This window comes from Homo sapiens, chromosome X, assembly GCF_000001405.40.
Source record: "Homo sapiens chromosome X, GRCh38.p14 Primary Assembly".
Classification (NCBI taxonomy): Eukaryota; Metazoa; Chordata; class Mammalia; order Primates; family Hominidae; genus Homo; species Homo sapiens.
The window spans coordinates 123,873,601-123,888,186 of NC_000023.11; the positions used below are offsets into that span (position 1 = coordinate 123,873,601).

The following is a 14,586-nucleotide window of genomic DNA, read 5'->3' on the forward strand; positions in this document are numbered from 1 at the left end:
AACATGATGAAACGCTGTCTCTACTAAAAATACAAAAATCAGCCAGGCGTCGTGGCGGCACACACCTGTAATCCCAGCACTTTGGGAGTCTGAGGCAGGTGGATCACTTGAGGTGAGGAGTTTCGAGCCCAGCCTGACCAACATGGTGAAACCACATCTCTACTAAAAATAGAAAAAAAAAAAATTAGCTGGGCCTGGTAGCACACGCCTGTAATCCCAGCTACTTGGGAAGCTGAGGCAGAAGAATTGCTTGAACCTGGAAGGTGGAGGTTGCAGTGAGCCCAAATTGCGCCACTGCACTCCAGCCTGGGCGACACAGCAAGAGTCCGTCTGAAAAAAAAAAAAAAAAACCTGGTGGGTTGCTCAGAGGCAGTTACCTATGTAACAAGCTGGCAGAAATTCTCAGGATAGGCAAAAAGATAAGAACCAAAGAACATATCCTTCCCTTTCTAAGTCATAAAAATTACTTCCTGTGAATGAAAAGCCAAAACTTTGCATTACCAGGCCTTGCTATTGATAGTTTACTTGGCCAGTGTATTCACAGAGGGAGGAAGCATTGTCACATGGCAAATAACCAGATTACACCCATAGTCTGGTTGGCAGGATTGTACAAGGGTGCCTGACTAATCAAGAGTCCACCTGCTTATTTCTTTTCATTAGAATCTAATATATTTGCTGTATAGAATTTAGAAAGTTAAGAAAAGCGCAAAGAAAATAATCTCACTGCTCAGAGATAACCACAGCAGAATTTTGATATGTAATTTAGCCTGTCTTTATATATCTGTATTTTTTATAATTTGGGTTATATAATACAACATCATTTTGTAACCAGCTTTTTCCACTTAATACAACATCATGGTGCTCGCTTTGGCAGTACATATACTAAAATTGGAATGATACAGAGAAGGTTAACATGGCCCCTGTATAATATATGCATGTTTTTAAAATACATCCTGAACATGAATTTTTAATGGTTACCTGGTGGCCCATATTACCATAGTATTGTCCTCTTTTGTTAGATATTGAATTGTTTTTAGTAAATAGCACTTTATGGAACATCCTTATATATACACTCATAATGAAATGATGGGGGATTTTTTTTTTTTTTTTTTGAGATGGAGTCTCCCTCTGTTGCCCAGGCTTGAATGCAGTGGCGCAATCTTGGCTCACTGCAACCTCCACCTCCCGAATTCAAACAATTCTCCTGCCTCAGTCTCCTGAGTAGCTGGGACTACAGGTGTGTGCCACCACCCCCAGCTAATTCTTGTATTTTTTTTTTTTTTTTTTTTTTTTGTGGAGCCTAGGTTTTGCCATGTTGGCCAGGCTGGTCTTGAATTCCTGACCTCAAGTGATCCACCCACCTTAGCCCCCAAAGTGCTGGGATTACAGGCATGAGCCACTGCGCCTGGCTGATCAGGGATTTATTTTTTTTTTTTTTTGAGATGGAGTTTCCCTCTTGTTTCCCAGGCTGGAGTACGATGGCACAATCTCAGCTTACTGCAACCTCTGCCTCCCAGGTTCAAGTGATTCTCCTGCCTCAGCGTCCCGAGTAGCTGGGATTACAGGCGTGCACCACCATGCCTGGCTAATTTTTTGTATTTTTAGTAGAGACGGGGTTTCACCATGGCCAGGCTGGTCTTGAACTCCTGACCTCAGGTGATCCGCCTGCCTTGGCCTCCTAGAATACTGGGATTACAGGCGTGAGCCACCGCGCCCGGCCTGATCAGGGATTTATTTATTTTTATTTTTTTGAGAATATGTTTAGAACTAGAATGGATGGTTCAAGAGATAATCATATATTTAAGACTTTTAGAACATATATTGCCAGATTACCTTCCAGAAAAGATGTACCAGTTTTTAGTTCTAACAGGCAAATGCCTCTTGCTTCATACTCTCCAGCCACTGCGTTTTCGTTGTTGGTAGTAATGTTGACCTTTGCCAAATAGGATAAAAATGTTATCTTTTAAAGTGTTTATTTCTTTGATTATTAATGAGGTTTAACATTGTTGCATATGTTTGTTGACCATTAATATTTCCCACTTGTAAATTTGCCTGTTTTCTATCAACGTATTAATCTTTTTCTTATAGATTTTTTTTTTTTTTGAGACGGAGTCTCGCTGTGTCGCCCAGGCTGGAGTACAGTGGCACCATCTCGGTTCACTGCAACCTCTGCCTCCCAGGTTCAAGCGATTCCCCTGCCTCAGCCTCCCGAGTAGCTGGGATTACAGGCATGTGCCACCACGCCTGACTAATTTTTGTATTTTTAGTAGAGACGGTGTTTCACCATGTTGGCCAGGCTGGTCTTGAACTCCCGAAATCAAGCGATCCACCCACCTCGGCCTCCCAAAGTGTTGGGATTACAGGTGTGAGCCACTGCACCCAGCCTTCTTATAGATTTATAAGTGTATTCATACTACTTTTTTTGTTTTTTAAGACAGTGTCTTGACCTGTTGTATAGGCTGAAGTGCAGTGACGCAGTCACAGCTCACTGTAACCTGGAATTCCTTGGCCTACATTGCCCAGTCTGGTCTTAAATTCCTGGGCTGAAGTGATTCTCCCGCCTTAACCTCCCAAAGTGTTGGGATTACAGGGGTGAGCCACCGCATGTGACCTCATGCTGCTTTTTTTTTTTTTCCAACTACTTTAGTCAGATGCTTCTTGAGACTATTACTAGTCAAAAACAAGATAGATTAAATGGAGGTAGTGACAGGACACTGCCCTGTTTGAGGCCATCTATTATTGGTGTGAAAAGCAAACATTACATAAGTAGGTTTAGATAGAAGGTCATTCACTCCAGCATTGTTCATAATAGTAAAAAACTAGTCAAACACAGTGGTTCACGCCTATAATCACAACACTTTGGGAGGCCAAGTCAGGAGTATAGCTTGAGTCCAGGAATTCCAGACCAGCCTGTACAGCATAGAGAAACCACATCTCTAAGAAAACTTTTTAAAATTAGCAGGGCATGGTGGCATGTGGCTATAGTCCCAGCTACTCAGGAGGCTGAGGTGGGAGGATTGCTTCAGCCCAGGAGGTCGAGGTTACAGTGAGCTATGATCACACTACTGCACTCCAACTCGGGCAACAGAGCAAGGCCTTGTCTTTTAAATAAATAAATAAATAAATAAAAAGGAAAATAATATGAGTAAACTCTACCCATCAGTGGTAAATACCACATATTTCTATCAATGTTAGGCAGTCTTCCTAGAATAATCCCATTAAAGAAAATCCAAAATCGTTGTATGAAAAAATACACAGGTTTGTTCCATGTGTAAAAATCTTTTAATCTTGGTACATTTTTTATCAAAAACATTCACACTACTTGAATACATTAAAAGAGTACAAAAGCATTCCAATGTACATATGGACACACAAAACACAGGGAATGCTTTCTAGTGAAATTAGGAGTAAATACAAGAATGTTAAAGGAGAGAGTCTCATATTACCAGAGTCAGTGAATTAATTGCCTTTTTTTTTTTTTTTGAGACAGAGTTTTGCTCTGTCACCCAGGCTGGAGTACAGTGGCATGATCTGGGCTCACTGCAACCCCCGCCTTCTGGGTTCAAGTAATTCTCATATCTCAGCCTCCTGAGTAACTGGGATTATAGGCATGCACCACCACGCCTGACTACTTTTTGTATTTTTAGTAGAGATGGGGTTTTCGCCATGTTGGCCAGGCTGGTTTCAAACTCCTGACCTCAAGTGATCCGCCTGCCTCGGCCTCCCAAAGTGCTGGGATTACAGGCATGAGCCACCACGCCCGGCCATTAACTGCTTTTTACAACACAAACTATACCTGTTTGGAATTAGTTTTTAAATATATAAGCTACAGGATGTACAAACACCAATGTGAACAACTGTCAGAGAATTTTGTAATTCAGGAACATAGCTTCAAGTGCTTCATAACATGGAAAGCAACTCCTAAAAATAGTAATTGGCTTAATTTCTTAAAAGCATTCCAGAAAGTGATTTGTTACAATTAGCAACAGAAGAACAACATTAGAAATAAGAATACTGGGAACATAAGAACTGAGGTCCTCCAGTACCAAGAGATAGAATCAAACTTTTTCTCATTAGAATTTAAAGAATATAGCCACGCACGGTGGCTCACACCTGTAATGCCAACACTTTGGGAGGCTGAGGCGGGTGGATCACGAGGTCAGGAGGTCGAGACCATCCTGGCTAACACGGTGAAACCCCGTCTCTACTAAAAATACAAAAAAATTAGCCGGGCGTGGTGGCGGGCGCCTGTAGTCCCAGCTACTCGGGTGACTGAGGCAGAAGAATGGCGTGAACCCGGGAGGCGGAGCTTGCAGTGAGCCGAGATCGCGCCACTGCACTCCAGCCTGGGAGCGAGACTCCGTCTCAAAGAAAAAAAAAAAAAAAGAATTTAAAGAATATAGTTAAAGGAAAAATTCACTGGGCTCTGTGAAACAGGTTAAATATGTAACCACTTCAAACAGAAATGACTTAGTCCTCTCACCTAGTTCTGAAAATGTACTAACATCCCATTTTCCATATCAAAAGCACGTAATTTCATTAGCAAAAGCCTCTTTGTTTTAGACTTAAAATCACCTCTGATCCACCAAAGTTTATGCAGTTACCAAACTACTATTTTAATAACATTTTGACAGCTTTATTAAGATAAAATTTATATACCATAAGATCCATTTAAAGTATATAGTTCAGTGGCTTTTAGTATATGCAGAGTTGTGCAACTATCACCACAATCTAATTTTAGAACATTTTCATTACTCCAGAAACAACCCCAGTAACCATTTGTAGTCACTTCCTATTTCCCCCTCCCCAGCCCTAGGCAACCACTAATCTACTTTCTGTTTCTATTTATTTTAATAACATTTCAAACTTGTAATATTATTGTTCTCATGCTTATTCTGGGTCGTTGGCTCAGAGGTTTAAAAGCTCTTAAACTACCCAAATTTACAAGTCCTATGACATCCTCATTCAGAAAACATTCAAATGATGGTTTCATAATGTTATGATAGTTCCATCTTCTAAGAGTTTTTGATCTGGAGCATATGTTTCAAATTCTATGTTTGTACTACTGCTAAATTCACTTAATTAGAAGAAGTAAAATCATTCTATCGAGACTCAAGAATGAGTTTGTTCTGTTTATGTTAACGATTCCAGGCTTTTGATGGTAGGAATGGCTTTAGCAGTCTTCTGTGGCACACCATTATCTTAAATAATATTGTCACCTTCCCCACTGTCTTCATCCTTTGGCTCAAAGTTTGGTTCAATCTGCTGTGGTTAGGCAAGAAGGCTATTATCAGCAGATTGGCTGGAGCTACCAGAAGTCTGACTGTTCCCAGTAACATTATTCTCCTGGTTGCTGGTCTCACTGTTAGGATGAGGTGGCTGCTGTTTGCACTCATCATGTCTGTTTACTTGATTGAGATGCTTCCCTGAAACTTATGTACCATCAACTTCTAAAAACTTCATCATTAACAGTTCATAGTTCTGTGCTGTGAGCCAGGCCTGGAACAAGCCAGGATATAAAAGATCCCTGGGATGCTCTCTAAGCCATGTGGTGTCTCCCTTAGGCTAGAACCATCCTGGATATAGAGTCCTAGGGGATGCTTAGTTCCTGGGAGAACATCCACATCTATGATTGAAGACACGGGTCTGAAGTCTTAGGGCATAGCAGTGACTGGATATAGCCTTTTTCTGTGGTTGACAAAACCACAGAAAGAGTTTTTTTTTTTTTTTTTTTTTGAGATGGAGTCACTCTGTCACCCAGGCTGGAGTGTGGTGGCACAATCTCGGCTCACTGCAAGCTCCACCTCCTAGGTTCACGCCATTCCCCTGCCTCAGCCTCCCGAGTAGCTGGGACTACAGGCGCCCGCCACCATCCCAGCTAATTTTTTGAATGTTCAGTAGAGACGGGGTTTCACCGTGTTAGCTAGGATGATCTCTATCTCCTGACCTCGTGATCCGCCTGCCTTGGCCTCCCAAAGTGCTAGGATTACAGGCGTGAGCCACCGCGCCTGGCCAGAAAGAGAGGTTTTAAGTGACAATATTATTAAAGACATTCTGGAGAAAAAGATCACCTATAATCCCGTCACCTTAACATTTTCTCGATTTATTTAATATTACTTTCCGAGTCTTGTCTATAAGTATACATTTTCATACAGTGGTAATCTGGCGTGCATTCTACCTTATATCCTTTTCCCCATTAAAATAACCTTTATTCTACGTATTTGAAAACCTTGGCTGGGCTCAGTGGCTCACGCCTGTAATCCCAGCACTTTGGGAGGCCGAGGCGGGCGGATCACGAGGTCAGGAGATCGAGACCATCCTGGCTAACACAGTGAAACCCCGTCTTTACTAAAAATACAAAAAATTAGCTGGGTGTGGTGGCACGTGCCTGTAGTCCCAGCTACTTGGGAGGCTGAGACAGGAGACTCCCTTGAACCCGGGAGGCGGAGGTTGCAGTGAGCCGAGATTGCGCCACTGCACTCCAGCCTGGGCGACAGAGCAAGACTCCGTCTCAAAAAAGAAAACCTTAAGGCTGGGCGCGGTGGCTCATGCCTATAATCCCAGCACTTTGGGAGGCCGAGGCGGGCGGATCACCTGAGGTCAGGAGTTCAAGACCAGCCTGGCCAACATAGAGGAACCCTGTCTCTACTAAAAATACAAAATTGCCGGGTGTGGTGGTGGGTGCCTGTAATCCCAGCCACTCAGGAGGCTGAGGTGGGAGAATCACTTGAGCTCAAGAGGCGGAGGTTGTGGTGAACCGAGGTCGTGCCATTGCACTCCAGCCTGGGCAACAAGAGTGAAACTCTGTCTCAAAAAAAAAAAAGAAAGAAAACCCTAATAAAAAAAAAAAAAGCAGCCTGGCACAGTGGTTCACACCTGTTATCCCAGCACTTTGGGAGTTCGAGGCAGGTGGATCACCTGAGATCAGCAGTTCAATTCCAGCCTGGCCAACATGTTGAAACCCCATCTCTTCTAAAAATAAAAAAATTAGCCAGGCGTGGTGGCGGGCGCCTGTAATCCCAGCTACTTGGGAGGCTGAGACAGGAGAATGGCTTGGACCTGGGAGGCGGAGGTTGCAGTGAGTTGAGATCACGCCATTTCACTCCAGCCTGGGCCATAAGAGCAAAACTCTGTTTCAAAAAAAAAAAAAAAAAAAGGGAGAAATAGAAACTTTTGTGTCGTATACAGACACCAGGGTTTTGTATGTGCCTTTGTCTCTGTATCCCCCACCTCCACATTCCCACATTCTCGCTAGATTAGCTGTCAACCTCCTCTCCTTGGCACCTCCTGGTGGCTCTCTTTACGCAGTTGACTGGACTAAATGTATGTACATACATGTATACTGTAAAACCTTACATATCACCATTGTAGAATCTCCCAAACCCTTCATTTAAACATGCACCATTGCTTGCTGGTCCTTTTTGTCCCATTTTTTGCTTCCATAGTGCTATTTTCCCAACTACTGTTACCCTTAAGATTCCTGACTTCCCAGCCCCTTTATACCAAAAGCTTTCTTTGACATTTTTCTCTTTCCGTGCCTTCCTGCCTTTCCACTTACCCAGTACAAAGCCTGAAGATGCTTTCACAGAGAAGCCTTAAATTATCCCAGCATACTTTATTGCACCCACACCTTTTCACTTCAAAAACCTTTTTGTCACCCTTGTCTAATATTCATACCCTATTTTCTTCTATATTCTCAATTCATCTGCTCCATATATACTTGTTTTCTGTGGTATCATTTTCCCCACCTCCATTTCACTTAGATCCTATATTTTTTTACCCTATCTTACCCTTTTTGTTTGGTGCCTTCCTCCAAACCCAAGGTTTCTGTCTTTCATCAGTCATCCTTCCACCTTTCACTCTTAAACTCTGGTAATTCTGGTTTTCCTCCTTCTCAAAAAGCTCACACTCTGCTAATGTGTATATATTGTTCACTTGAGTGCTTCTAAATAAATATTTACTTTTCAAAACAGTGAAATCTGAACTATTAGCATGGAAACAACCTCTGGGAAGATAAGATCTCCACTCAAAAGCTTCAAATTGAGATTCTCCTGCTCATGTTGAATGATGGTTTTATCTAATATTTTCTGAAATAGGGTGACTACTTGAACTACACAAAATTGTGAAATGAGAATATCTTTGATTTTATACTTCTATTTTTTTTTTTTTTTTTGAGACAGAGTCTCACTCTATCACCCAGGCTGGAGTGCAGTGGCAGTCTTGGCTCATTGCACCCTCCACCTCCCAGGTTCAGGTGATTCTCGTCCCTTGGCCTCCCAAGTAGCTGGGATTATAGGCATGTGCCACCACACCCGGCTAATTTTTGTAGTTTTTGGTAGAGATGGGGTTTCACCATGTTGGCCAGGCTGGTCTTGAACTCCTGACCTCAAGTGATCCACCCACCTCAGCCTCCCAAAGTGTTGGGATTACAGGCGTGAGCCACTGTGCCTGGCCACTTACATCTATTTTGATTGACTTGAAATAAAATTTAACACCTCAGGGAAGGCAATTCTCATGTGTTTTGAATTATACTGAGCATTAATTCTTCAGGATAATTATAGACTTGGAAAGGTTTAACCCAGTCTCCCAGTCCATGCTGAAGTTCCTTTAAGTGATAGGAGGAACTCATAATCTACAAGGCAACCCAATCCATTTGGTGCTACCATCGATTGTTATAAAGCCCATCCTTGGGTTAAAATCTACTATTTACAGTTGTATTTAATGACCTTAATTCTGCCCTCAAGCTATATAAAATTTGGATCTGTTTTCTACATGATAATCTTTTAGATATCTTAAGGTAGTTAGTCTATCCTCTCTACCCTTCCCCTCACAGTTTTTCCACCCTTTGAGATAAATATCCTTCGCTATTCCAACTATTTCTCATATGGTATCATTTTTATCATCCCGATTGCTCCCTAAGGATGTTAAACTTTGTTAATGTCCCTTCCAAAATGTATTTGGAACTGGAAATAATATCCCTTGGTAGCTGAATTGGATCTGGATGTTGCACATCTGGACACTAATGCAGTCTGAAGTTGCTGTAAGTTTTTTAGTCGACTTGTAATGTTGGCTTATGATGAATTTGTAATTAAATAAAATCCCAAGGTTTTAATCTGGAGGATTGCCTTTAAGTGATTTCTTCTTAAACTAAGTCTCAATCTTCTTTTAGTTATGCAACAGATTTTTTTTGTTTGTTTTTTGAGACGCTCGCTCTGTCGCCCAGGCTGGGGTGCAGTGGCACGATCTCAGCTCACTGCAACCTCCACTTCCTGGGTTCAAGCAATTCTCCTGCCTCAGCCTCCCAAGTAGCTGGGATTACAGGCATCCGCCATCATGCCTGGCTAATTTTCTTTCTTTCTTTTTTATTTTTTTTTAGTAGAGACGGGGTTTCTCCATTTTGGTCAGGCTGGTCTCGAACTCCTGACCTCAGGTGACCCACCCTCCTCAGCCTCCCAGAGTGCTGGGATTACAGGCGTGAGCCATCACGCCCGGCCTTTTTTGAGATGGAGCCTCGCTCTGTCGCCCAGGATGGAGTGCAGTGGCATGATCTTGGCTCACTGCAACCTCCGCTCCCCGGGTTCAAGGCATTCTTCTGTTTCAGCCTTCCGAGTAGCTGGGATTACAGGTACCTGCCACCACGCCTGGCTAATTTTTGTATTTTTAGTAGAGGTGGGGGTTTCACCATGTTGGTCAGGCTGGTCTCGAACTCCTGACCTCAAGTTATCCGGCCACCTTGGCCTCCCAAAGTGCTGAGATTACAGGCATGAGTCACCGTGTCCGGCCTATGCACCAGATATTTTTTAAAAACCAGATGTAAGACTTTATACTTATCCCTATTAAATTTTATCTCATTAGCCTATCAGGTAGCCTTGGTTTTTTTCTTTTCTTTTCTTTTCTTTTTTTTTTTTTTTTTGAGACAGAGTTTCACTCTTGTTGCCCAGGCTGGAGTGCAGTGGCGCGATCTCAGCTCACTGCAACCTCTGCCTCCCGGGTTCAAGCGATTCTCCTGCCTCAGTCTCCCAAGTAGCTGGGATTACAGGCATGCTCCACCACGCCCAGCTAATTTTGTGTTTTTAGTAGAGACAGGGTTTCTCCCTGTTGGTCAGGCCGGTCTCAAACTCCCGACCTCAGGTGATTTGCCCACCTCGGCCTCCCAAAGTGCTGGGATTACAGGTGTGAACCACCATGCCCGGCTGTTTTTTTTAAGACTAGTCAAGTGCAGAGTGAGAAGGGGGGAAAGAGTAGAACAAGGAGTTTGATCAGCCTTGGTTTCTTTGAATCTTGATTTTTGTCATCCAGTTTATTGTGCTGATTCAACAAAGGGCCTTGAAGCTAATGTTGGAATGTTTTCAGACATATAGGAAATGATAATTCATCAAAAGTCATGGAGACTATATTCCAAAAGTTTTATGCAGATATAACTCAGCTGTTGAGGTATATGAGTTAATACCACTATAAATTGACATGGCCAGGAAAGACTGAAGTCCATTGCCAGCTTGCTTTGTGTTGAACATTACTCCAAAAGAGATTAAATTTTAAGGCATATTGTGTCAACATAAAGGCAAAAGAGCTGGCTAATTCTTCTCAAGAAATCAATTAATGGCAGGGCGCGGTGGCTCACGCCTGTAATCCCAGCATTTTGGAAGGCCGAGGCGGGCAGATCACCTGAGGTCAGGAGTTCAAGACCAGCCTGACCAACCTGGAGAAACCCCGTCTCTACTAAAAAATACAAAATTAGCCGGGCATGGTGGCGCATGCCTGTAATCCCAGCTACTTGAGAGGCTGAGGCAGGATAATTGCTTGAACCTGGGAGGCGGAGGTCGCATGAACCAGTATCACACCATTGCACTCCAGCCTGGGCAGCAAGAGCAAAACTCCATCTCAAAAAAAAAAAAAATCAATTAATGCACGCATAATATAGAGACAGAGTCATTGTTACCATTCTCTTATTTTGCCTTTGACAAGTTTATATTGAGCATGTTATCAGGCAATGTGGGAGATTCTGGAGAACCAGGTTTGCCTCATAACTAGGGTTACCATATACTCTAGTTTGCCTGGGGCAACCCTGATTTATGCCTGTTGTCCCAGTGTGATTATTACTAGTGTAATTTTTCACTTTGAGAAGTGTCCAGGTTTGGAGGATAAATTATCTTTCTAATAATTGATACCCTTCTCATAACCTAACGGGTTCCTTTTAGTATTTTATCTGGGTTAAAATTACCAGCTGTAATTTGGCAGCTCTAATAAGACTGCAGCAATACTTATCTTCCATTTGAACAGATTGTTACTTGACCAAGGGAAGTTAATAGCAAAAGTAACTGCAGGGCACATGTATGTCATGGGCAAAAAAAAAAAAGTAACAGCAATTAAGGTTTGCAGGTACTTAGAATTTTTCCTGAGCCACCCTCTAGAGGGCAGTGTTACATATATATCTGTAATTATCCAGTTACAACAAAAAAAGGGCTCTCATTCATGCATGAAAATCAGAAATATTTCATACTCTTAAAGAACACATTGGAACCAATATTATGATTAAAACATATTTTGCTAAGCAAAGAGATATTAAAAATTAATTCATTAACATTCTGAACATTTTTTAACTTGTAAAAACAACTTTGATGCCTTGAATATATAATGATTCATTATAACAATTATGCATAGATTTTAATAATCTGCATATTTTATGCTTTCATGTTTTTCCTAATTAATGATTTGACATGGTTAATAATTATAATATATTCTGCATCACAGTTTACATATTTATGTAAAATAAGCATTTAAAAATTATTAGTTTTATTCTGCCTGCTTAAATATTACTTTCCTCAAAAAGAGAAAACAAAAATGCTAGATTTTACTTTATGACTTGAATGATGTGGTAATGTCGAACTCTAGTATTTAGAATTAGAATGTTTCTTAGCGGTCGTGTAGTTATTTTTATGTCATAAGTGGATAATTTGTTAGCTCCTATAACAAAAGTCTGTTGCTTGTGTTTCACATTTTGGATTTCCTAATATAATGTTCTCTTTTTAGAAAAGGTGGACAAGTCCTATTTTCAAGAGAAGATGACTTTTAACAGTTTTGAAGGATCTAAAACTTGTGTACCTGCAGACATCAATAAGGAAGAAGAATTTGTAGAAGAGTTTAATAGATTAAAAACTTTTGCTAATTTTCCAAGTGGTAGTCCTGTTTCAGCATCAACACTGGCACGAGCAGGGTTTCTTTATACTGGTGAAGGAGATACCGTGCGGTGCTTTAGTTGTCATGCAGCTGTAGATAGATGGCAATATGGAGACTCAGCAGTTGGAAGACACAGGAAAGTATCCCCAAATTGCAGATTTATCAACGGCTTTTATCTTGAAAATAGTGCCACGCAGTCTACAAATTCTGGTATCCAGAATGGTCAGTACAAAGTTGAAAACTATCTGGGAAGCAGAGATCATTTTGCCTTAGACAGGCCATCTGAGACACATGCAGACTATCTTTTGAGAACTGGGCAGGTTGTAGATATATCAGACACCATATACCCGAGGAACCCTGCCATGTATAGTGAAGAAGCTAGATTAAAGTCCTTTCAGAACTGGCCAGACTATGCTCACCTAACCCCAAGAGAGTTAGCAAGTGCTGGACTCTACTACACAGGTATTGGTGACCAAGTGCAGTGCTTTTGTTGTGGTGGAAAACTGAAAAATTGGGAACCTTGTGATCGTGCCTGGTCAGAACACAGGCGACACTTTCCTAATTGCTTCTTTGTTTTGGGCCGGAATCTTAATATTCGAAGTGAATCTGATGCTGTGAGTTCTGATAGGAATTTCCCAAATTCAACAAATCTTCCAAGAAATCCATCCATGGCAGATTATGAAGCACGGATCTTTACTTTTGGGACATGGATATACTCAGTTAACAAGGAGCAGCTTGCAAGAGCTGGATTTTATGCTTTAGGTAAACTTTATTATAAAACCAATAAATAGCTTCCCAAGTATGCCAGGGCTCATAAAAAGTAAATAGATGCCCTTAGCCCCCTGAACTGGTAAATATTTAGGTATAACTTGGCATGATTATATATATATCTGTATTATTCCGTGAACTCTTATGTTGAACCTGTAATGTAACTACTGAATTTATGTGAAAAAGACTACCATATTATGAGTCATGCTTCTCTTCATGTAATTGTTTTTAGGAAGTAGATAACTTGCAAAAGATGGTAGACATCCCCAATAGCAAAATGGGTCTAATAGTAATATTAACCATCATTTATTGAGCACTTACTATAAGTGCTCAATACATATACTTCATGCATTTTCTCTAAGCTTCACAATAGCTTTGTTTGTTTGTTTTTGAGACAGAGTTTCGCTCTTGTTATCCAGGCTGGAGTGCAATGGCGTGATTTAGGCTCACCACAACCTCCACCTCCCGGGTTCAAGCGATTCTCCTGCCTCAGCCTCCTGAGTAGCTGGGATTACAGGCATGTGCCACCACGCCCGGCTAATTTTGTATTTTTAGTAGACACAGGGTCTCTCCCTGTTGGTCAGGCTGGTCTCAAACTCCTGACCTCAGGTGATCCACCCGCCTCGGCCTCCCAAAGTGCTGGGATTACAGGTGCATGCACCATGCCTGGCTAATTTTTGTACTTTTAGTAGAGACAGGGTTTCACCATGGCCAGGCTGGTCTCGAACTCCTGACCTTGTGATCCGCCCGCCTTGGCCTCCCAAAGTGCTGGGATTACAGGCATGAGCCACTGCGCCGGCCATATGAGTACTTTCAAATGGACTGTGGTAGACATTTCAGGAAGGGCCATTGGAGTGATTGCTTCTAAAGATATTTTAAAAAGTTATACCATTATATATTTGACCCATTTATTTTAAGATTGAATAATGCCTATAAAATATTGGTTATTTCGAAAGATTTTATTTATGTACCATCATATAGTAATCTTGAAGGTTTGTTTAGTGTCATGTAGCTATAAACTTAGAGAAACTTACAATTTCATTATGTAGAACTTTAATGTTACTAATACTTGAAACATAACTTGTTTTAAAATTTCACAGTTTGAAACAGTAAGGACAATATTGGTGGCCCAAATAACATACTAAAAAGAAAGTATGGCCGGGCGCGGTGGCTCCCGCCTATAATCCCAGCACTTTGGGAGGCTGAGGTGGGTGGATCACCTGAAGTCAGGAGTTCAAGACCAGCCTGGCCAACATGGTGAAACCCCGTCTCTACTAAAAATACAAAAATTAGCTGGGCGTGATGGCATGCGCCTGTAGTCCCAGCTACTTGGGAGACTGAGGCAGGAGAATCACTTGAACCCAGAAGGCAGAGGTTGCAGTGAGCCGTGATCGCGCCATTGCACTCCAGCCTGGGCAACAAGAGTAAAACTCCATCTCAGAAAAAAATAATAATAATTAATAAATAAATAAATAAATAAATAAATAAATAAATGAAAATAAAGTATGCCAGGTACAGTGGCTTACGCCTGTAATCCCAACACTTTGGAAGGCCGAGGCGGGTGGATCACTTGAGGTCAGGAGTTCAAGATCAGGCTGGCCAACATGGTGAAACCCCATCTCTACCAAAGATATAAAAAAT

At 41.6% G+C, this 14,586-nt stretch overlaps 1 protein-coding gene and 2 pseudogenes across 7 annotated transcripts in view; 2 read left to right on the forward strand and 1 right to left on the reverse strand.

The window, feature by feature from the left end:
* Positions 1-14,586, forward strand: part of XIAP (X-linked inhibitor of apoptosis) — a 54,265-nt gene that overhangs the window by 13,893 nt on the left and 25,786 nt on the right. For 5 of the 7 annotated variants that reach the window (NM_001378592.1, NM_001378591.1, NM_001204401.2 and 2 more), the window contains one exon: positions 12,031-12,939. The exons of the other annotated variants lie outside the window; for them this stretch is intronic. In NM_001378592.1, coding sequence (NP_001365521.1) covers positions 12,063-12,939 — 877 coding nt within the window. In that variant the 5' untranslated portion in view covers positions 12,031-12,062. The remainder of the gene's footprint in view (positions 1-12,030; positions 12,940-14,586) is intronic. 7 annotated transcript variants of the gene reach the window in all.
* RNU6-122P (RNA, U6 small nuclear 122, pseudogene) lies at positions 859-965 on the forward strand (annotated as a pseudogene).
* On the reverse strand, positions 4,850-5,602 carry PARD6BP1 (PARD6B pseudogene 1; annotated as a pseudogene).